The 22,111-nt window shown below is 53.4% G+C and overlaps 1 protein-coding gene across 7 annotated transcripts in view, besides 3 other annotated features; it reads left to right on the top strand.

Annotated features, from left to right (window-relative positions):
- Window positions 1-22,111, top strand: part of AGO2 (argonaute RISC catalytic component 2) — a 122,158-nt gene that overhangs the window by 66,836 nt on the left and 33,211 nt on the right. For all 7 annotated transcript variants that reach the window (XM_011516968.3, NM_001164623.3, NM_012154.5 and 4 more), the window contains 8 exons: window positions 2,546-2,666; window positions 12,844-13,025; window positions 14,968-15,104; window positions 15,949-16,083; window positions 16,906-16,993; window positions 18,242-18,389; window positions 19,192-19,311; window positions 19,460-19,582. In XM_011516968.3, coding sequence (XP_011515270.3) covers window positions 2,546-2,666; window positions 12,844-13,025; window positions 14,968-15,104; window positions 15,949-16,083; window positions 16,906-16,993; window positions 18,242-18,389; window positions 19,192-19,311; window positions 19,460-19,582 — 1,054 coding nt within the window. The remainder of the gene's footprint in view (window positions 1-2,545; window positions 2,667-12,843; window positions 13,026-14,967; window positions 15,105-15,948; window positions 16,084-16,905; window positions 16,994-18,241; window positions 18,390-19,191; window positions 19,312-19,459; window positions 19,583-22,111) is intronic.
- Window positions 6,701-7,458: an enhancer, noted in NCBI's record as "H3K4me1 hESC enhancer chr8:141578119-141578876 (GRCh37/hg19 assembly coordinates)". NCBI's record gives its function as "activates a minimal SCP1, AML or CMV promoter by ChIP-STARR-seq in naive H9 embryonic stem cells {active_cell/tissue: H9 hESC(naive)}" and the evidence as "EXISTENCE:reporter gene assay evidence [ECO:0000049][PMID:30033119]".
- Window positions 14,799-15,998: an enhancer, noted in NCBI's record as "MED14-independent group 3 enhancer chr8:141569579-141570778 (GRCh37/hg19 assembly coordinates)". NCBI's record gives its function as "activates an origin of replication core promoter dependent on BRD2, BRD4, P300/CBP and CDK7 cofactors, and independent of MED14, by STARR-seq in HCT116 cells {active_cell/tissue: HCT116}" and the evidence as "EXISTENCE:reporter gene assay evidence [ECO:0000049][PMID:35650434]".
- Window positions 17,259-18,458: an enhancer, noted in NCBI's record as "MED14-independent group 3 enhancer chr8:141567119-141568318 (GRCh37/hg19 assembly coordinates)". NCBI's record gives its function as "activates an origin of replication core promoter dependent on BRD2, BRD4, P300/CBP and CDK7 cofactors, and independent of MED14, by STARR-seq in HCT116 cells {active_cell/tissue: HCT116}" and the evidence as "EXISTENCE:reporter gene assay evidence [ECO:0000049][PMID:35650434]".

The following is a 22,111-nucleotide window of genomic DNA, read 5'->3' as shown; positions in this document are numbered from 1 at the left end:
AGGGAGATGAGGGCCTCCGAAGGTTGGGGACCCTTTGTAATGTTTGGAGAGTGCAGAGGAATGAGCTGTCCTCTTGCGAGAGCTGCAGGGCATCCCTTGTCTTGGGCAGCCCAGAGCAGGTCAGGGAGGTGCCAGGTGAGATTGTGCCCTGGCTGCCAGGGAGGTGCCAGGTGAGATTGTGCCCTGGCTGCCAGGGAGGTGCCAGGTGAGATTGTGCCCTGGCTGCCAGGGAGGTGCCAGGGGAGATTGTGCCGTGGCTGCCAGGTAGGCATGGCAGGGATGGATGCCAGGGCCATGCTGACGGCCTTCGGGGCTGTTCCCTGCCCAGGCTGGATCTCCCAGCACTGTCAGAGGCGGGTGCAGCTTGGTGGAGCCCTCAAAGATGTCACTGAGAGGCTCTGGGCATCTGCCACGGGCACTCCCCAGACCGCAGGTGTTGAGGGCAGGTTAGCTGGATCCCTGAGACCCTCTTCCTGTGGCTGTTGGAGGTGGACCAAGCAAAGCCATTCTGAATAAGGAAAGCCCTCCAGGCCAGCTTGCCTCGACTTTTGGGAAAGGAATGGAAGGAGTTGGCAGGTTCTTGCTTCCTGAGAGATGACTGAGGCTCTGCCCAAGAGAAAGACCATTCTAGCCACGCTCCAATCCCACCTCCCTTCAGAAGTCTGTCAGTGACTCCCCCGCCCCCACCTTACCCTGCTGGTGGACTCCTCTCTCGCTCTTTACCACATCCCCTGAGCTGGCATTTCCTGGTAAAAAATCAAGATGTTAAGCACCCCATGGGCCTCTGCATTTCCCTCACATGGGCCTTTGTGGGCAGGCAGGGACCCCAGCTCTTCATATTTGCACTTTATCAGGCGTAGTGTGCGAGGGCAGGCATTTAGTGAGTTGGGTCAAAATGCCTCAGAACCCCCCTGAGCTGGGCACAGTGACTCATGCCGGTACTCCCAGCACTTTAGGAGGCAAAGGCAGGAGGATTGCCTGAGCCCAGGAGTTCGAGACCAGCCTGAGCAACATAAGGGAGGCCCCATCTCTACAAAAAAATTTAAAAATTAACTGGGCATAGTGGCCTGGGCGTGTAGTTCCGGCCGCTTGGGAGGCTGGGATGGGAGGATTGCCTCTGCCCGGGAGGTCAAGGCTGCAGTGAGCAGTAATCATGCCAGTGTACTCCAGTGATAGAGCGAGACTCTGTCTCTAATAAAATAAAATAAAACAAGCACCTGAAATGCCAGGAGAGTACTATGCCAAGCTGGTACCTCTTTGGAACAGAGCTGAAGGCCAGCAGGAGGTTTGCAGAGTGTGTTTCTGGAGGCCTCTCTGTCACGGTGGGGAAGTGGGGGTTGGGGGGTGGAGGGTGGGGGTCGTGGATCTCTGCTCATGGAGCCCTGCAGAGCAGCTCCCTTGCATCTAGCAGCCTTCTGCCATTGGAATGCCTGAGCCCCCAACACCAAAACCCCAGTCTCTCCCAGCAGCAAGCATCCGTCTCATACCATGGCTCTGCAAGTGGGCTGAGGTTTGGCTGGGCCCCTGGGTCAGGCTGGACTGGAGGGGTAGCAGCACCCGGGACTCATTCTTCTGGCAATCAGAGGAGCACAGAAGGCCAAGCCAGTCTCACAAACCCCTTGACTGGGGCTACAGAGCAAATCCTAGTGGCCACAGCAAGGCCCACAGCCGAGCTGAGCCACACCTGTCAGTCTGTGTGCACAGTGGGTAGCTGTGCAGAGGCATGGGCGCCTGACCCTACCTCCATGGAACACAAATGTCACAAGCTCTGTTCTTCTCGTCAGTGCCTTCACAGAGCTCCGGAGGTTCTGGAAGTGTCTGTCATCTGCTGTATGTGGCATATAAAGTGCCCAGCGCGTATCAGGTTCTCCCGTGTTTCACTAAAATGCACAAGCACAAACCCACTCATGGGTCTAGTTTGCTTCTTTATAGAAGTTGGAAGTCATGTTGCCCAAAGGAGCCACAGGTCTTGCAAAATTGCTTTAAAAATAGCATCAGAGGGCTGGGTGCGGTGGCTCACGCCTGTAATTCCAGCATTTGGGAGGCCAAGGCGGGTGGATCACTTGAGGTTGGGAGTTTGAGACCAGCCCGGCCAACATGATGAAACCTTGTATCTACTAAAAAAAAAAAAATACAAAAAATTAGCCAAGTGTGGTGGCGGGCACCTGTAATCCTAGCTACTTGGGAGGCTGAGGCAGGAGAATCACTTGAACCCAGGAGGCGTAGATTGCAGTGAGCCAAGATCGTGCCACTGCACTCCAGCCCGGGCAACAAGAGCGAAACTCCGTCTCAAAAAAAAAAGAAAAAATTAGCCGGGCGTGGTGGCGTTAATCCCAGCTACTTGTGAGGTTAAGGGAGGAGAATTGCTTGAACCCAGGAGGCAGAGGTTGCAGTGAGCTGAGATCACGCCATTGCACTCCAGCCTGGGCCACAAGAGCAAGACTCCATCTCAAAAAAAAAAAAAAAAATAGCGTCAGAAAAATGTCCTTGTATGCCATTTTCTCCATTTTATTGACATTTTGCCCGACTTTTGTCTTTGTTTCAGGGAAATCGTGGAACACATGGTCCAGCACTTTAAAACACAGATCTTTGGGGATCGGAAGCCCGTGTTTGACGGCAGGAAGAATCTATACACAGCCATGCCCCTTCCGATTGGGAGGGACAAGGTAAGCTCGCCGGGATGCCCTTGGTGGAGTAACATACGGTGAAGTAAAGCTCACACATGTTGTAAAGTCTGTCATGCCTGTTCTCATACACGAAACTATTTCACTGAGGAGGAGAGAGCAGTTCACTGCCACATGCTTCGTCCTGAGATCCATAAAAACTACCTTCTCTGTGTTGTGGCTTTCAGTGATGGGGGTTTAACTTGTCTAGGTCCAGACACGGATATCGAGAACTTGCTGAAACCACCAAACTTTAAGTACAAAGTACACATGCTAAACACAAGCCACAAACCACCGCCAGACAAGAGCTTAGAGTAAGCACCAGTATTATAAAGACCTACAGAGGCCAAGGCAGGAAGATGGCTTGAGCTGAGGAGTTCAAGGCTGAAGTGAGCTATCTCAGTGCGCCACGAATTCCATCCTGGGTGACAGAATGAGACTCCATCTCCACAAGAAGACCTATGGAAAATTACGTTCATATAGGGGTATGTGAGAGAGAGACATGGCAGTGAGGCCCAGTTAACATTCTGCTCTAGCCAGTGACTCATCTGAAATTAGAATGATGGTGATTAGTCAACCCGGAGGGAGGGGGTGTATTAAAATGTCACCTTCTTTTATTACCTTTAGCCTTATCGTGGCTTTATTTAAAAAGTAATAAAATTTCTGCCCAGAAGTTGTCACTTCTTGAGAATATCTTTCAACAAATGTGCTGCTGCAGAGTGATACGGGTGTTATTCGTAAGTAGAAGAAGAGCAGAAACCCGGCTCAGAAATAATCTTTACAGGCCGGGCGCGGTGGCTCACACCTGTAACCCCAGCACTTTGGGAGGCCGAGGTGGGCGGATCACAAGATCAGGAGTTCGAGACCAGCCTGGCCAGTATGGTGAAACCCCGTCTCTACTAAAAATATAAAAATTAGCTAGGTGCCTGTAATCCCACCTACTTGGGAAGCTAAGGCAGGAAAATCGCTTGAACCTGGGAGGCGAAGGTTATGGTGAGCTGATATCGTGCCACTGCACTCCAACCTGGGCAACAGAGTGAGACTCAGTCTCAAAAAAATAAAAAATAATCTTTACACATACTTTAAGAAGCAAACACATCAGAAACCAGGAGTTTAACAACTATGAGAATGAAAGGCTGATTCCCTCTGGGAACAACATACACAGTTTGCTTTTTAAACCCTGAGTTCCTGAGAAAGAAGCCAGCTCCGTATGCAAAGGGTCTCAAGTTGCTGTCAGGGATGTCTGTTTTAGTGGGAGAGCAAGTGGCCTGCAAGCAGCTCTCTCTACAGACGTTCAGTCTTCTTCCTTTTGCTTTTGAGACAGGGTCTGGCTCTGTCGCCCAGGCTGGAAAGCAATGGTGCAATCACGCTTGCTGTAGCCTTCAATTTCCAGGCTCAAGCGATCCTCCCACGTCAGCCTCCAGAGTGGCTGGTTTTTCATTTTGATGATAATCTTGAAATGAATAAGCTCCTTTCAGCCTTTCTGGATGGTCAGCAGGGCCCAGCAATCTCAGTGCCCAGTGATGCTCCTTCACCTTATCACGCTCTGACAAAGGGAGAACGTGCTGTGACTGAGCAGAGACCGAGTTACGATATAGGGCTCTGCATAAAGCGATCTCATGGTTCTAAGAGGGGCAGTGGTCTGTGCGTTGTCACTGCCAGCCCAGGGTGATAGACGTTGGTTTTCCCAAGAGGAGCAAGTCCTAGACCAAATGCACATCAGTCAAGCACGATCACCCCTTGCAAACTAGTGTGCTGTGGAGCTGAAATGTAGTCATTTTAAAGTTCTGTGCTTAATTTGCATTTGTTTTTACTTATAGTTTTATAAGAAAGAAAAGCATAAGGAGTTTGTGCACAGTTTTGTCTGTATATGTTTATATTTACACACAAGGCGGGCATCAGGGTAGTTTTTCTGAAAAGGGGCTGAGGGCGTCTATATGGTATTTGATATTTAAATTTGAGACCTGTCATTGTGGAAATTAACTGTGCACAAACTCTGGGGTAAAACTAGATATGGGTGTGAGGCCTGGCTCCACCCTTCCTGTGGTGGGACCTGGGGCACCTCAACTGGCCAAGCCTCAACTGCCTCACCTGTAAAACGGAGAGATGGCAATAAAAACTACTTCCCAGGGGCTTTGTGAGACTTCAGTGAGCATGTACATCCCCGTCCGGTGCCTGTGCCCCACGGTCCTGGGTGGTGCATCTCCCACCAGCCCTAGCCGGTGCCTGTGCTGCTGGCCCCATGCCACATGTTGAGTAGCGAGAGTTTAAAATTCTTTGTTTAAGGCTAGGTGCAGTGGCTCATGCCTGTAATCCCAGCAATTTGGGAGGCCGAGGCAGGCGGATCACTTGAGGCCAGGAGTACGAGACCAGCCTGGCCAACATGACTAAATCCCGTCTGTACTAAAAATACAAAAAAAAAATAGCCAAGCATAGGGGCACACGCCTATAGTCACAGCTACTTGGGAGGCTGAAGCATGAGAATCACTCGAACCCGGGAGATGGAGGTTGCAGTGAGCCAAGATCACACCATTGCACTCCAGCCTTGGGCAACAAGAGCAAAACTCCATCTCCAAAACAAAGGAAAAAAGAAAAGCTCATGTCCCAGAGAGCATAGAGAACCTACTCAAAGCCACTGTGTTCGGTTAGCATGGGGGTACCCCGGCTGCAGACCACGCTCCTCCCACTGGTTTGGGGGTTCTGTAGGATCTCTGCAGGGTGCAGAAATTAACCTTCTGTGTGAGAGCCTGCGTAAGGCGGTGTCCCATGTCCATCTTCTCGCATCGTGTCCCAGTGTCGTCTTTGGGTTTTGTCTTTTTTCTGTGAAGTACTTTTTCGTGCCTCACTTGTGGTAAGAGCGGAATCGTTCTGATGCTCCATTACCCTGGAGGCTCGTGGGGACTCTGGCGGCTCTGGTCCAGGCCTCTGCACAGGGGGCCCGTGTCACATCGCCCTTACACACGAAGCTCCTAAATCTCCTACTGCAATGTTAGCCTGCCTGCCTTCATCCCAGCCCCTGTGTGGAAAGAGAGACGAGTTCTCCCAGGCCCGGGAGACGCTGGGACCGCCCAGCCTCACTCCTTCACCTCCCAGAACTGGAGGTGGAGACAGGAAACTATACAAGTTGATCAGCATTTTGGGTTGAACTCCTGGGTTCTTCTTTGAAGGCATGATTTGTGTCGTCTGGTCTTCTTGGCTCTGGGTCCAGCTCCATGCCTGCCCTTGTTGGGTCCCATGGAAGGTCTGCAGCTCCCTGGAGCTTCTCTGCTCAGTTGAATAGAAAATTTAGGAAGGTGGCCAGAAGGAGCACTGTTTAGGAACATATGGAGACAACTATAAACTCCCTAAATAACAAAAGACAAGTGGCTTTGGCCTGGAAGGGATTTGGGTGGTGGAAGATGAACCTGAGAATTTATTCCCACATCTCACTGAATGATCAAATTGAGCGTCTGGGTTGACACGGTCTAGGAGTGGTGGTGGACAGCACCGGTGTCTCCTTCCCAGAAGGAAGTTAGGGCAGACCCACAGCTCAGAACAATAGCAGACCCTGCCTGGAAGCAGTGTACCTTGGGAGAAGACAGCCACGCACAGAGTTCACTGTTGAAGGACATGGTAGTTCGGCACTCCTGCCTGTCCGCCTCTCTGTGCAGCTCAGCCATGCCATGGCCACAGGAGTGCCGGGCTGTTGCCTGCTGACCTGGGATGGGGGTGTCTGGCAGCAAGGGAGGCCAAGGGCTCCCAAGGCAGTGAAGCTTCTGCACCTGAAGGCTTGGGGAGAGAAGGCGGGCGGGGGCGAGGAGAGGCCTAGGAAGCCATGGGGGGCTCCGCTTGGGCAGTGTGCGGCAGGGAGCCTGCCCAGCCTGGGCCTGGCGCAAGCATCTTTGGGGCTGACCTGCAACCTCTCAGGGCCAAGGGTCCCCTCGAATGAGCCAGGTGCTTTGACCCAAGCCCACCCCAATACAAGCTGGTCAGGAGGTGGTGCCGAGCCCTAACCGAGCAGCCACTCCCTGTACCTGCTCTGTCATCTGCCAGGTGACTTTGAATTCCCACTACACTTTGCAGACATGATGGGTGGGACTGGTTTTGGTGCTGAGGTCTTTTGGGGGTCAGTGATCTGCCTTTCGAGAGCTGCTGCCCTACAGAGTCACAGGATGCCTTTAGACCTCAGCACCTGGCACATTTCAACAAGACATGAACTGCACGGCCCCTCCTGGCAGGGGCATGTGGCACGCAGCCTGGCAGCTGTCTCTCGGCCTGGGCTCGGCAGGCATAGCGGGTGTGGTCGCTCTTCCTGCCGCCCCAGGGAGGCCCCGTCCAGGTCAGGATCCTCGTGGCCAGCCAGACATGCCACGCCTGCAGTGCCTCCCTCGCTCCCTCCTCAGCAGCAGTGGACAGGGAGGCCGTGGGCTCAGCCAGGGCCATAGCCAAGCTGAGTGCAGGAACAGCCTTTTGAAAGGCAGCTGCGCCTCTGTGCCTTTTCCCTGGCTTCATACACAGTTTCTTTGTGCTCTCTCTTTTTTTTTTTTTCCCCCAGACATGGTCTCGCTCTGTCACCCAGGCTAGAGTGCAGTAGCACGATGTCAGCTCACTGTAACCTCCACCTCCCAGGCTCAAGTGAGCCTCCCACCTCAGCCTCCTGAGTAGCTGGGACTACAGGCATGTGCCACCATGCCCGGCTAATTTTCTTTTCTTTTTTTTTTTTTTTTTTTTTGTATTTTTAGTAGAGACGGGGTTTTACCATGTTGGTCAGGCTGGTCTCAAACTCCTGACCTTGTGATCCACCTGCCTGGGCCTCCCAAAGTGCTGAGATTACAGGTGTGAGCCACTGTGCCCCGCCACTAATTTTCTTTTTGTAGGGACAGAGTTTTGCCACATTGCCCGGGCTGGTCTGCAACTCCTGAGCTCAAGCGATCCAGCCCGCCTCGGCCTCCCACGGTACTGGGATTACAGGCGTGAGCCCCAGGCTGGCCTCTTTGCATTCTTTAGAGTGCTGTTTTCCCTTTGTTGCTGAGTTGTGTGACGACCCCAAAGAGGAATCACCCCATGACAGTCCTACTTCTCTCGCCCTGAGGATTTCCGGACAGGGAGGCCAGCCTGCGGGTTTGGCTTGTCTGGGGAGATTGGATGTCACAGGTGCCTCGCCGTGCTCCAGGCCTTGGATCGAGTCCTGGGCTGACATTTTCTATTATCCATGTTCAGAAAATGGCAGTTGGGCCACTCCCAGATTGTAGCGCTGCAACACAATTGGCACCAGTGCCCTGTGAGGTGGGCGGGGCCACCTGCTTGTCCCCTTGTGTGCAGGAAGCCAACGGAGCCACCTGCCCGAGGTTAGAACACGGGAGGCAGCAGGGCTGGGAGTGACCTTCAGATGTCATGTCATTGGGACCGAGCGCTTTGGGCTGTTGAGAGGCGGCAGTGTCTCGGGTGTGGACCACCTGCTGCTGGCAGCCCAGACGCACACGGTGCCTGTCCCTTGGAGAGCCATGTGCCTCCTGCCCTCGTGGCGTGATGGCCGTCGTAAAATCTCCATGCAGCCCTAAGCTGCCACACACGAGCACCAGCCAGCCACTGTGGACGTGGGATGGGCAGATAGTTACAGAGCCCGGGGTGACTCTGCTGTCCTTTCTCTGCAGGCCAAGCGGAGGCTGGACTGAAATACATTTACAAATTAGAATGTATTTTGCTGTGGGAAAATAGACCCCTTGCCATTGCCCCTCGGTGTTGACTACAGAGGTTTTTGAAAGGTGGCATTGACAGGCATCCGATCCGTGCCAGGGCACAGCACTGTAGGCTGGATGCCGAGTGCTGTTGCCGCAGATGTACTCGGGCCTAAAGTACCTCCTGGCTGGGGCGTGTGTGAGCTGGAAATGCACGCGCTCTCCCACTCCCAAGCTCACTCCACTTGCACGCCGTGACCTGGACGTGCTGTTTCTGGACAAGGGGAATGGCACTCCCTTCTCAGCGACCGGCTACTCCTGTTGGGACCCAGTAGCTGCCAGTCCGTACTGGAATTGTCCCCCCATGCCCAGCCAAGCCACTGGTCCTGGGCCCATAGAGACTCTGTCTCCCTTTCTGGAGTCAGACAGTTTGACAGGGGCACTCGCCCCTCTGCTTCCTGCCACCTGGCCCGGGGCGCCTCAGTCAGCCCCTCCAGATCTGTTTCTTTAACTGAGAGCGGGACACCTTCCCCCCCCCCAAAAAAAAAAAAAAAAGAAAGTAAAGGGGGGAACCAGTGAGTGCAGGAATGTCTGCCATGTTGCCAGTGTTATGCCAAATGTGCATTTTCAGTTACTGTTACTTGTGTGTGACTTATTTAGAATTTTATTATGAAGTAGCACTAATGAAAAAGAAATATATGTACAGTTGGCCTTTGAACAACAAAAAGGTTAATGGTGCTGTATTAGCCAATTTTCATGCTGTTGATAAAGACTGGGCAATTTACAAAAGAAAAAGTTTAATTGGACATACAGTTCCATGTGGCTAGGGAAGCATCACAGTCATGGTGGAGGACAAAAGGCACTTCTTACATGGCGGCAGCAAGAGAGAATGACGAAGAAGCAAAAGCAGAAACCACTGATAAACCAATTGGATCACTGTCACAAGAATAGCACGGGAAAGACCAGCCCCCATGATTCAGTCACCTTCCTGGATTCCTACCACAACATGTGGGAATTCTAGGAGATACAATTCAAGTGAGATTTGGGTGGGGACATAGCCAAACATAACAGGCGCTGATTCCCCATGCAGTCAAAAATTCATTCATAACTTTTTTTTTTTTTTTGAAACAATTTCTCTGTTACCCAGGCTGGAGAGCAATGGCACAATCACAGCTCACTATAGCCTTGACTTCCCTGGGCTCAAGCGATCCTCCTATCTCAGCCTCCTGAGTAACTGGGAGCACAGAGATGGGGTCTCCCTATATTGCCTAGGCTGGTCTCCAACTCTGGACTCAAACCATCCTCCCACCTCAGCCACCCAAAGAGCTGGGATTATAGGCGTGAACCACTGCACCTAGCTATGTATGACTTTTGACTCCCCCAAAACGTAAACTACTACTAATAGTCTGTTGTTGACCAGAAGCCTTACCAATAACATAAACTGTAAATTAACACATATTTTATAGGTTACATGTATTATATAGTTTATTCTTCTTCTTCTTCTTTTTTTTTTTTTGAGACAGAGTCTCACTCTGATCCCCAGGGCTGGAGTGCAGTGGTGCTGTCTCGGCTCACTGCAACCTTCACCTCCTGGGTTCAAATGATTCTCCTGCCTCAGCCTCCCAGGTAGCTGGGATTAAGGCGCCCACCACCATACCCGACTAATTTTTGTATTTTTTTGTTTTTTGTTTTTTGGTTTTTGGGTTTTTTTTTTTTTTTGAGACAGAGTCTTGCTCTGTCGCCCAGGCTGGAGTGCAGTGGCGCGATCTCGGCTCACTGCAACCTCTGCCTCCCAGGTTCATGCCATTCTCCTGCCTCAGCCTCCCCAGTAGCTGGGACTACAGGCGCCCGCCACCACGCCCGGCTAATTTTTTGTATTTTTAGTAGAGACAGGATTTCACCATGTTAGCCAGGATGGTCTCGATCTCCTGATCTCGTGATCCCCCCACCTCAGCCTCCCAAAGTGCTGGGATTACAGGTGTGAGCCACCGTGCCTGGCTTTTGTTTTGTTTTGTTGAGTTTTTTTGAGATAGCGTTTCACTCTTGTCGCCCAAGCTGGAGTATGGTGCGATCTCGGCTCACTGCAACCTCTGCCTCCCAGGTTTAAGCGATTCTCCTGCCCCAGCCTCCCAAGTAGCTGGGATTATAGGCACGTGCCACCATACCCAGCTAGTTTTTTTGTATTTTTAGTAGAGACGAGGTTTCACTATGGGCCGGGGTGGTCTCGAACTCCTGACCTCGTGATCCACCCGCCTTGGCCTCCCAAAGTGCTGGGATTACAGGTGTGAGCCACTGCGCCCAGCTGGTCTTGTTCCTTTTTATGGCTGCATATTATTCCACAGTGTATGATATTGTTACAGCTAGTTTTTGTATTTTTAGTAGAGATGGGGTTTTGCCACATTGGCCAGGCTGGTCTTGAACTCCTGACCTTAGGTGATCCATCTGCCTCAGCCTCCCAAAGTGCTGGGATTACAGGCATGAGCCACTGTGCCTGGCCCTATATAGTTTATTCTTACATGCTTAAGCTGGAGGAAAGTTATTTAAGAAATCATAAGGTAAAGAAAATATGTCTACTTTTCATTAAGTGGAAGTGGATTATTATAAAGGATCCCCTCTGTCTTCATGCTGAGGAGAGAAAGGAGGAGCTTGGTCTTGCTATCTCAGGGGTAACAGAGGCTGAAGGAAATCCATATATAACTCCGCTTGCGTAGTTCCAACCCATGTTGTGCAAGGGCCAGCTATGTACATTTATTTAAAGAGTGGTATTAAACCACATCCTGTACCCCCAACCCAGGCCCAGCTGTTCCCTCCTCCCACCCTGAAATCCCCCATGGGCGAAGCCTTGATTGCGTCCCCCCACCGCCACCCCCTCCGCTGTCCTGATGAGTTGAGTGAAGCTGGCCCTTTCCTCTGTTGGTTTCCTCAGCTGTGCTGCATCCCCTGTGCGTATGGCTCTGATGTCTGGAAGGAATCGTGCTGCGGCGCCCTTCTGTGGCTTGCTGCTTTTCTTGCTATTCGATGTTTGAAGTCTATCCGGCTGGAAGGATTCGATCCTTTTTCCCTGCCCTCATCTTTTGCAGATGGTCCTCGGGGCGCGGCCAGTTTGGGGCCATCGGGCACAACAGTGCTCTGAGGGCTCGTGGGCGTCTGCCAGAGCCAGCCCAGGCCCAGGTGGAAAGGGTGTGTACCTGGGACCCAGGTGTGCAGGTGACGCCCGCAGAGTCTGGTCGTAGCTCCGTGAGGTTCAAACAAGGTGTGGCAAGAGGCCAGGCCCTGGGCGACAAGGATGAGCAGATGGGAGCTGGGCATGGGCATGGCGGGCAGTGGGCGAGCGAGCAAATGTGCCTGGTGCCACCAAACAACACTGGACCTGGGCATGCTGGCACACTGGGGTTTGTGGTCCTGAATCAGGGAGGGCACCTCAGGTGCACAGAGCAGAGGCAGCAGGCCCTGGGCAGGCTAGGAGAGGCCGGTGCTGAAGACCTGGGACCCTGGCATCACACATGGAGTGGGAAGGCCTTCGGGGTCCAGATCCCGTCTCTGCCCTTTCATGGCTTTGTGGCCTTGGGTTATTTTTTTAAGTCTGGGTTTCTGTGGTTTCATGGATAAAAAGTGGTGAGTCGGCCAGGCACAATGGCTCACGCTTGTACTCCTAGCACTTTGAGAGGCCAAGGTGGGAGGATCCCTTGAGCCCAGGAGTTCAAAACCAGCACAGGTAACATGGTGAAGCTCCATCTCTACCAAATTAAAAATTAAAAAATTAGCCGAGTTTGGTGGCGTGTGCCTGTAGTTCCAGCTACTTGGAAGGCCAAGGCGAAAGGATCCCTTGAGCCTAAGAGGTCAAGGTCGAAGTGAGCCAATACTGCACCACTGCACTCCAGCCTGGGCCACAGTGAGACCCTGTCTCAACAAAAGTGGCGAATGAATTTTCCCTTGCTGGGGTCACTGGGCATGTGAGGATAACATATATACCATCTGTAACCTGTCACATCGGTGTTCCTCAGACACTGGGAAGCATGATTAGCAAATAGCAAAGTTGCTTCACGCGTCACCTGAGTGGGCTCGTGTGTGTCCACATATTTGGAGGTATGAGGGCCAGATCGCGATTCAACTGTGGGTTCTGAGTAGCGGAGTGGGGCTTGCAGGTGACGGCAGCATGATCTGGCGTTAGGTGCAACCCATAGGTGAGGGACGGGGCGATTCAGAGACTGGGAGGAGAGAGGTAGTGAGTTCATTGTTTGGGGGTGAAACGAGGATACGTTTTCGACCACTGTGAGTACACCAGCCACTGCCACATGTGGCTCTGTACATTTAAATTCATCAAAAGTAAGTGAATAAAGTTTAAAATTCAGTTCCTTGGTCATATTTCAAGTGCTCCATAGCCACATGTGGCTAGTGGTTGGCTAGAGGCCTGGGCGGGGACTTCCTCACCCAGGAGTGTCTGGAAGCCAACCACTGCCAGGCTGCGTCCTCCCTGGGGCTTCGCAGGAGGGAGTAACCTTGTGTGCCTTGGATCCTCGCAGGTGGAGCTGGAGGTCACGCTGCCAGGAGAAGGCAAGGATCGCATCTTCAAGGTGTCCATCAAGTGGGTGTCCTGCGTGAGCTTGCAGGCGTTACACGATGCACTTTCAGGGCGGCTGCCCAGCGTCCCTTTTGAGACGATCCAGGCCCTGGACGTGGTCATGAGGCACTTGCCATCCATGAGGTGAGGGCGCCACACGGGACCAAGGGCGGGGGACTCCCCTGCAGCTCCGAGGGCCCCCCGCAGGGTCTGAAATCTGTCCGAGGAACGGCTCATTCTTGGATCCAGGGTGGGAGTGGTCACGTGGGTTTTCTGTGATGAAGATAACACAAATGGTGCTAAGGTGGAAACAGTGTTAATATAAACATAAGTCACCAGCATTTTCGGCCTGGCCCGGAACGTTGGCCTCCCTATTTGTGTGCACGCTGGTGCCTTCGTGTTCCGCGCAGCCCTCTGCACCCAGCACTTTTCTGCTCATCTCTTGCCCTTGGGACTCGTGATAGGAGAGTAATGCTGTGTTCCCAGTTTCGTGCTGCATGCATGTCTGCAACTCTAGGGACCATCACCGCTGCTTTTTGTGACTGTTGGGGACGTCCTTTTTCTCAGGATTACTCTTTTACCACAAATGGCCACACTTGCGATTGCTGGGAGAGGGTGTAGGGGAGCAGTTGAAGGACTCACAAGCTGCCCGGTTGCTGGGCAGAGGGTTGCACTAATTTCCTGAGTGGCCCGCTGTTGCAGGAGCAAGGCCAGCTCAGCGCGTCAGCCCTCAGCACACCTGCCCTCACACTGGTGCCCGGGAACAAGTTGAGTTTTCAAGTTTCATCTCTTTCGAACCAAAGCCGAAACCAAAACAAACCCCACAGTGACAAACCCCAGGACTGACCAAAGCTTTAAGATTCCAGGAGAGAGTTGGGGCTTCCCTCATAGAAGAGAAGGTGCTTTGAGGCCATGTGTAAGATTTTTAGAAGGGACCATGGTGTTCTCAGTCTTCAGGCATGGGAGGAGGTGACCAAATACAGGACAGGCTGTCACTCCCGGCAGGAACACACCTTCCCCCACGTGTAATCTGTCTCTGCTTTGAACTATCGGTGGAGGAAGGCCGTAGGTACGTGGAGAAACACTCTAGGAGGATGGTTGCCAAAATGGCATCTACCTTGTTAATAGAGTTGCAGAAATGACTGTGATTCTTTTCCGAATTCCTTTGGATTACTTACATTAATTTTATAATCAGGGAGGAAACTGCTGTTTTCATTCTGGGAAAAGAAGAGCAGTAGAGGCGGGATTATTAGCACGTCTCAGGTGGAAAGTGAAAGGGCCGTGTAGGTGATTAGATCAGCGCAGCCCACAAGTAGGGAGCATCGAGGCTCACAGCGTGTTTTCCCTTCAGAATCATTAGTGACGGCGCCTCCCGGGCCACCAGACCCCACGGTGCCCGTGCAGCAGGTGAGGCTGCTGTGCTGGAGAATGCGTCTGCTTCAGTCGAGTAGCTCCAGCCGGGTCAGCGCAGCATCCCTAGCAGGCCCGGAAGAGGTTGTGAAGCCCTCACGCTGGCCCTTCCACCTCCTACGGGGGAGCCCACAGCGGGCAGCTCCGGGGCCTCGGAGCCTACCTGGGGAGCCCACGGCTAAAGGAGCCGGCAGATGCTGGGTCATGCGTGGACAGCCACTGGCCAGAAGCAACACGTCTCCCCACGGCTGGGGCTGGGCCTGGCTGGGGCTGGCACTTGGCAGGTGCCCAATTCTATCTGCGCTTGGGGACACAGGCCCCAAGAGGTGAAGAGTAGACAGTGAGGACAGTAAGGCGAGGCAAAGCCAGGACAGGGAGTCTGGACCAGAAACACGCCAGGTCCTGGGGGCTTGTGATCCACCTGTGCGGTGTCTTTAAACGTCTTTCACCATCCCCCAGTGAGGCCACGGGTCCCCCAGCCTGCTGCTGTCACAGTGTCCCACACAGCAGGCCATGCACACAGGCTGGAGTGCCGTGTGGTAAACGTGGATTTAAAAGGAGGGGAAACGGAACTCTGATGAGGGTGTGGTGGGCGCAGGCGAAGCCCACCCAGAGGCAGCTGTTCCTTCCGGAAGACACATCTGACGGGAGGCGGGGTGGGGTCTCTTGGTTCCAGGTACACCCCCGTGGGCCGCTCCTTCTTCACCGCGTCCGAAGGCTGCTCTAACCCTCTTGGCGGGGGCCGAGAAGTGTGGTTTGGCTTCCATCAGTCCGTCCGGCCTTCTCTCTGGAAAATGATGCTGAATATTGATGGTAAGCAGCGCCCTGGGGTCTTCACTGCAGGGCAGGGTTGGGCATGGGCTGGGGGGTCAGGACCCCGGTCGGGGGGTGGCATGTGGCCAGCTCCACGCATGGCCTCTGTCAGAGCCAGCGCCGCTGCGTGACACCTGGCTGGTCTCACCTGCAGTGTTGGGTGGGTTACGGCAGTGGCTCTCAGGCCAGCGTGAAGCCACGAGATGGTCGCACCCTCAGAGGCTGTGGTCAGGGGCTGAGGCGGGCCTGAGGATCCGGGGCTTCCTTGCTGCTGGCCTCCTGTAGGCCTGGGTTTGACTGTAGCCTGGGTGTGGCCTGTCCCTCTCTTGGGAGGCTTAGTCGCTGCTCTGTGCAGGACATCCGCTGCCCTCTCTGTGAAAAAGACGAGAGTGAAGGCCAGCGAAAAGGATCTGTCTTCTCATTTGGGAGCTGATTATTATGAAAAGCTCTAGAAAGCAATGAGAATTTGATCTTGCTCAGTTATACATTTATTGAAAAAGAACTACATAAAAGGAAATGGTGAATTTCAGAAATATCTACACCAGACGGTAACCAGAAAATCCTACAACACTGGCTTCATTCTCGGAGGGTGACTTTAGTCTTTAACTAATCAGCCAGCTCCTTTCTGTCACCCTGACCAGAGGGAGGCCAGCAGCTAGGGCCTGGGCTTGTCACTGCTGGCCTGCCCGTGTCTGGGCCTGAGGCTAGCCTCAGTAGGGAGTGAGAACCCCGGCCGGGTGTCCCCACCATGGCTGGCCTGGCCTATGAGGCCCCTCCAGGACTATGGGCCCGTCCAGCAGCCCCACAGTCATGCTTAGGCCTTTGCCTCTTTTCTCGCCTACAGTGTCAGCAACAGCGTTTTACAAGGCACAGCCAGTAATCGAGTTTGTTTGTGAAGTTTTGGATTTTAAAAGTATTGAAGAACAACAAAAACCTCTGACAGATTCCCAAAGGGTAAAGTTTACCAAAGAAATTAAAGGTAATGAACTGTCCCAGCACACCTGGCTGAGGGCTGGGAGGCCCCTTCCCGGTCCGCCTCCGGGACCGCATTTTGCAGTTCTGGTTCTTGTGCGCATTTGGGGAGGTGGGGGTGGCAGAATGTAGCCATCAGATGAGGTAGCATGGAGATGAGTTAGATCCATTTCCCAGAGCGGGAGTGGGGGTTTCCTAAATAAATACAACCCCATGGGGTGAGGATGAGGTTGGGGAGTCAGTCACGTCTGAGTCATGATCTCAGGACTAGAAGCAGCAGCGTGGCTGTGATCAGCATTTCCTAACGCTGGAACCTAGGATGCGTTTTCTTTTGTCTTCATTTAATCCTTACACAGCCCGGCAGGTGTCTGTACCCAGTCAGCCTGCTTTCTACTCCAAGAAACTCAGATTGGGGGGGGTCTAGGACTTACCCGGGGTCCTTCTGCCCATCAGCAACAGAATGGGGGGCCCACCCCTGGCTCCACAAGCCCTGCCCGCTGAACCCGTCCTTTTGGAAGGCCATTTGCAGGGCCATCCACCGTACCCCGTGTTATCACGATGACCCATGGGGGGCGCAGAACAGCACGAGGGTGGACACCCCATGCTCTAAGCTGAGCCTCCCCTCCACCACGTGGTACTCTTGTAGGTGAGACGGACCCGGCTGGGGTGGCCTGGGGGTGACCTGTGGGTCACCCTCCCTAGGGGAGCCCTGCAGCCCCCCATAACTTGGGTCCCCAGCCACATTCCTATGAAAACTGATTCTCGCAAGTGGCGCCTGCACTCAGGTCGGGACAGCCCCGATGCCGATGCCTGTGTTCTGTGTCCCCAGGTCTAAAGGTGGAGATAACGCACTGTGGGCAGATGAAGAGGAAGTACCGCGTCTGCAATGTGACCCGGCGGCCCGCCAGTCACCAAACGTAACACGCCCTTCCTTTCAGACTCTCTTGGCTGGGGCCCCCACTGTCACTCCGACGGGCACACTCTGGAGCCATGATTCTGTGCCCATTCTCCAGAAAGGACCATTTCATGCTGTTTTTCAATCCCAAAATTGTCCCTTACATGGCTCAGTAGATTCCAGACTTCACCTAAGAAAATAAACTCAGATCATGAAATTCCCCCTGGGTGCTAGAAGGGCCGGCCCAGGCTCTCTCTCCCTCTTCCTTCCTGAGCCTCACAGAGGAGAGAAGGGTCTTTTGTGTTCATTGTCCCATCCTTAGTGCTGGAGGTGGCGGGTCTGTGGCCCTGACCCACGCCCCCTTCCCTGGGCCAGTCCGCGTGTCCCATCATTACGGCAAGAGCACGGTTTGGTACGCAGGCCGGAGTGGGGGGTGAGAGTGCACCGCTGTCCTGGGTTGTACTGGTGTTTCTTTGCGGGAGGAGGTGATAGATTTGGCCCCTGTGCCCCAGTTAATGTCTCCCAGGCCGGTAGGGTTCGTTTATTTCATGGATCATTCCATGGAAAGTGCCAGGCCTGTTGCCAGGCACTGGAGGTACCAAGATGCCCGTGGCTGAGGGAGCAGAAGGACGAGAGGGCCTGTGGCCTGGCAGAGGCTGCAGATGGCCCGGCAGTCTGGATTGGGGGAAGGGGTCTGTGCAGTAGAAACTGAGCCACGTGGCCCTTTGCCCTGCACTAGCAGCCCCCGTGCCCTCATCCCCACACAGAGGCCAACCCTTCCTGTGCCTGTGGGCCTCCCCCTCACTCACCCATACTGCACCCAGGCGTCTCCTGCCGTCACCGTGCGGCCGGAACCGGCCTGGCCTGCTTTCCTCGTCCTGTCCTGGGGGCTTCAGGCCTTCTGGGCACCGGGAGCGCGCGGCACGTAAAAGGCTTCCAGGGTCACCACGGTCTGCTGGAAGACGCGCAGGCCTTTCTGGTCGTGCCCATTCGTCCTGACTCCTTTACACACACTGTGACGTTGTGGATAATTTATGAGTAATGATGCATGTAGGTATTTTTTGTTTCCCAACTCCAGAAACAAAATGAGAATTTAGGGGCTCAGAAACATTCCAGATAACCCAAAGCACATGACATGGTTTTCACTCCCGGAAGTGCTCTGAATGTTTGCTCCTCACACGTCACCCTAAAAAGCAAACGCAAATGAAAAGCAGCGCAGGGGAAGGGGCTCCGGGATGCCCTCGGCCTGAACAGCCCCTTTGCTCCTCAGATTCCCGCTGCAGCAGGAGAGCGGGCAGACGGTGGAGTGCACGGTGGCCCAGTATTTCAAGGACAGGCACAAGTTGGTTCTGCGCTACCCCCACCTCCCATGTTTACAAGTCGGACAGGAGCAGAAACACACCTACCTTCCCCTGGAGGCAAGTCACCCTCTTCCTGTGTGTCTCTGGGGGCTTGGGAGGGCGGCGTCCCAGGCTGGGGCATGCAGCTTCGAGAAACCGCCGAGGCCCCAGTCAGATACAAATGGCACTGCCTCTGCTGCTGCAGGAATGCGGGTGGGTTAATGGGCTTTGTTACACCTCGGTTTTGCCTTCAGTAGAATGGGGTCTGCAGCTCTCTTGTGGGATTGGTGTGAACCTTGCCTGAGGTTGTGTGTAACGTGTCCAGCAGGCCCCGCAGCGCGAGGCAGGTGCTCCGTCACTGCACCGTTGCGTCATTCACTCTCCTCTAACATCACGACTCTTTGAAAAATCCTTGCCTTGGGAAAGGATCAAATTCCGACCCTGAGCCATGTGCTGTAACTCTTCCCTTGGTGTTTAGATCCTGTCATTCAGGTAGGGCTGGGCAGCTCCAGCACCTCGTCCCACAGGTAGACGTCTTTCGCACCTGCAGCTGCTTTCACGCCCGCAGCCACCGAAGACTGGAGAGAGCCCAGAAGTGCCGGTGTCAGGACACAGCCCCGCTCACCTGGTGGGCTGGGCACAGAGGCCGTGGGGTCTCTGTGTTCGCGTGACGTGGGGTTTACTTAACAGGCATTTCTGTTGTGAAGCGGAAGGCCGTGGAGCAGCCCCCACAGCAGACACCTGCACAGCACTTCATAGCCCAGGGATGAGGCAGAGACGGTCCCAAGCAGAGCCAGGCCACCAGCCCCTGAGCCCCCTGCCTGCTCCCCTGGTCACTCCAGTGCGGCACTGACGGCCTGTCTCTACGTCCTCTTCACAGGTCTGTAACATTGTGGCAGGACAAAGATGTATTAAAAAATTAACGGACAATCAGACCTCAACCATGATCAGAGCGACTGCTAGGTCGGCGCCCGATCGGCAAGAAGAGATTAGCAAATTGGTGAGTGTCAGTCCCGGGCAGGGCTGCCCTGTGGAATCCAGTCCGGTTGCCCTGGCACAGAAACCTCTGATGCTTGGAACGGACGCAGCTGCTAGAGAGATGGGAGGCCTCCACCCACTCCGTGCGTTTTCTTGTTTCCCTTTGCCAGATGCGAAGTGCAAGTTTCAACACAGATCCATACGTCCGTGAATTTGGAATCATGGTCAAAGATGAGATGACAGACGTGACTGGGCGGGTGCTGCAGCCGCCCTCCATCCTCTACGGGGGCAGGGTACGTGTGGGGCGGCGGGGAACGTGTGGCTGCGGGGCATGTCTCTGCCCTGCGACCCCTCTCAGGTTCTGAGCTATCGCCCGCGGTGTAGACTGTGTTCCATGCAGGAGAATCCTTTCTACTCCCGGCTGAGCCTGTAAAAGACGTGAGATTTCATAAAGGAATGGCTTTCCTTGGTCCTTTTTAAAGTTTTTCAGAATTATCCTTAATGTTTTCAGAAGATAATTTTTATTATCCCATGAAAGTTTAGAGAGCACCATTCTGTGTGTGACAGACACTCACCGAGGGTCGAATTATTTCCCAGAAGGCTGTACTGCTTTTCTATTCTTTAACTTTTGCTTTGGGGATGTTTGGTAACAGTTTTTTGTCCTTGCTAATTTAACTTCTGGTTTTGTTTGTTTTGAGGCAGGGTCTTGCTCTGTCACCCGAGCTAGAAGGCAGTGGCATGACCTGACTATAGGTCACTGCAGCCTCTAACTCCCGGGCTCAAACAAATCTCTCGCCTCAGCCTCCCAAGTAGCTGGGAATACAGGTGTGAGCCACTGTGTCCAGCCCTTAACTTCTCCTTTTTATCAGTGTGTAACCAAAGGTGTCCTGAACACTGAGCCCTCCAGGGTCTCCTCTCATTTCCTCCTGGGCTCGCTTGCATACCACGGTTGCAAGCATACCATGTCTGATGGGAGGGCCCAGAGGTGACCATGCTGGAAGGGACACCAGGGCTCTGCAGGGTCTTAGTGTCAGAGGTCACTGACTTTCTTAAGCACCTGGCATCTGTGTAAGAGTCTGCCTAACCTTTTACACCCTAGTTTCTACCTAATGGAATTTTATTCTCATCCTCAAGACCTGTAGCGAGGTTTTGGTTTGTTTTTTGTTTGTTTGTTTGTTTTTCTTGTCTTATTTTAAAATATGGGTTCTGAGCTGGGCGCAGTGAGTGGTTCACATCTGTAATCCCAGCACTTCGGGAGGCTGAGACGGGTGGATCGCTTGAGGTCAGGAGTTTGAGACCAGAAACCCTGTCTCTACTAAAAATACAAAAATTAGCCTGGAGTGGTGGTGCGCACCTGTAGTCCCGGCTTCTCAGGAGGATGAGGCAGGAGAATCCCTTGAACCCGGGAGGTGGAGGTTGCAGTGAGCTGAGATCACACCACTGCACTCAAGCCTGGGCGAAAGAGCAAGACTTGTCTCAAAAAATAAAAAATACTTAAAAAAAACAGTTCTGTTTTTTAAATGTTTCAGAATTCAGAAGATACAAAAGAATTAAAGGAAAAAGTATCTTTTTTCCCAGTTCTCAGTTGCCCTCTCAAGAAGCAGTTGGTGTTCCTTCTCCTTTGTAAAATCACCCAGGGATGATTCACCCCTTTTTGTGAAAATAATAGCATTACCTATATTTCTGTGCCTCGCTGTTTTCTAGCTAACATTTCCTTAGAGCTCACTGAGAGGCTGCTGGCCGTTCTGTGTTGCTGTTCGTGTGTGTCTTGTCCTCTAGCACTGCTGCGTGGCACCCCATCACGTGGGGGGGTCTGTGTCCCTGGTGGTGGGCATGGCCACTGCTTGTCTCTCTGAAGGGAGTCTGAGCAGGGCCCTTCAGCCCCTCCTTGGCTCGCTTGTCCCCCGAGGCCCCAGATGCTGTATAAACACAGCCCAAGCCCAGGAGGAAGAGCCCGTGATCCCCCTTCATGAGTTGGGGAGGAGACGCCCCGGGAGGGCAAGAGGAGTGCCTGGCCCCTGTGCGGGGATGGGGCTTTTGAACCCAGCACCGCTTCACAGCCCTGCTGGCTTCTGTTCCCTCGGGCTTCAGCTGTTAGCAAGGGCAGTGGTTGTCTGAAAAACAGAAGAGCTTGTGTAAGCCAACGTTGCAAAAATCTCAAGAGTGTAGGGATTAAGAGAGCTTGTAGGCTGGGTGCTGCGGCTCATGCCTGTAATCCCAGCACTTTGGGAGGCCAAGGCAGGAGGATCACCTGAGGTCAGGAGTTCGAGACCAGCCTCCGGTCAACATGGCGAAACCCTATCTCTACTAAAAAATACAAAAATTAGCTGGGCATGGTGGCATGCGCCTGTAATCCCAGCTACTCGGGAGACTGAGGCAGGAGAACCACTTGAACCTGGGAGGCAGAGGTTGCAGTGAGCCGAGATTGTGCCACTTTACTCCAGCCTGGGCAACAGAGTGAGACACTGTCTCAAAAAAAAGGCCAGGCATGGTGGCTCACACTTGTAATCCCAGCACTTTGGGAGGCTGAGGCAGGCAGATCACCTGAGGTCAGGAATTCGAGACCAGCCTGACCAACATGGAGAAATCCCGTCTCTACTAAAAATACAAAATTAGCTGGGTGTGGTGGCCTATGCCTGTAATCCCAGCTACTCGGGAGGCTGAGTCAGGAGAATCGCTTGAACCCAGGAGGCAGAGGTTGCGGTGAGCCAAGATCGTGCCATTGCACTCCAGCCTGGGCAACAAGAGCGAAACTCCGTCTCAAAAAAAAAAAAAAACAAAAAACAAAAAACTTGTAACTTGTTTGAGGCAGAGTGTTTCTC

The sequence above is a fragment of the Homo sapiens genome, chromosome 8, assembly GCF_000001405.40.
Source record: "Homo sapiens chromosome 8, GRCh38.p14 Primary Assembly".
NCBI classification, from domain to species: domain Eukaryota; kingdom Metazoa; phylum Chordata; class Mammalia; order Primates; family Hominidae; genus Homo; species Homo sapiens.
This window is presented reverse-complemented; position numbering and strand designations above follow the sequence as displayed.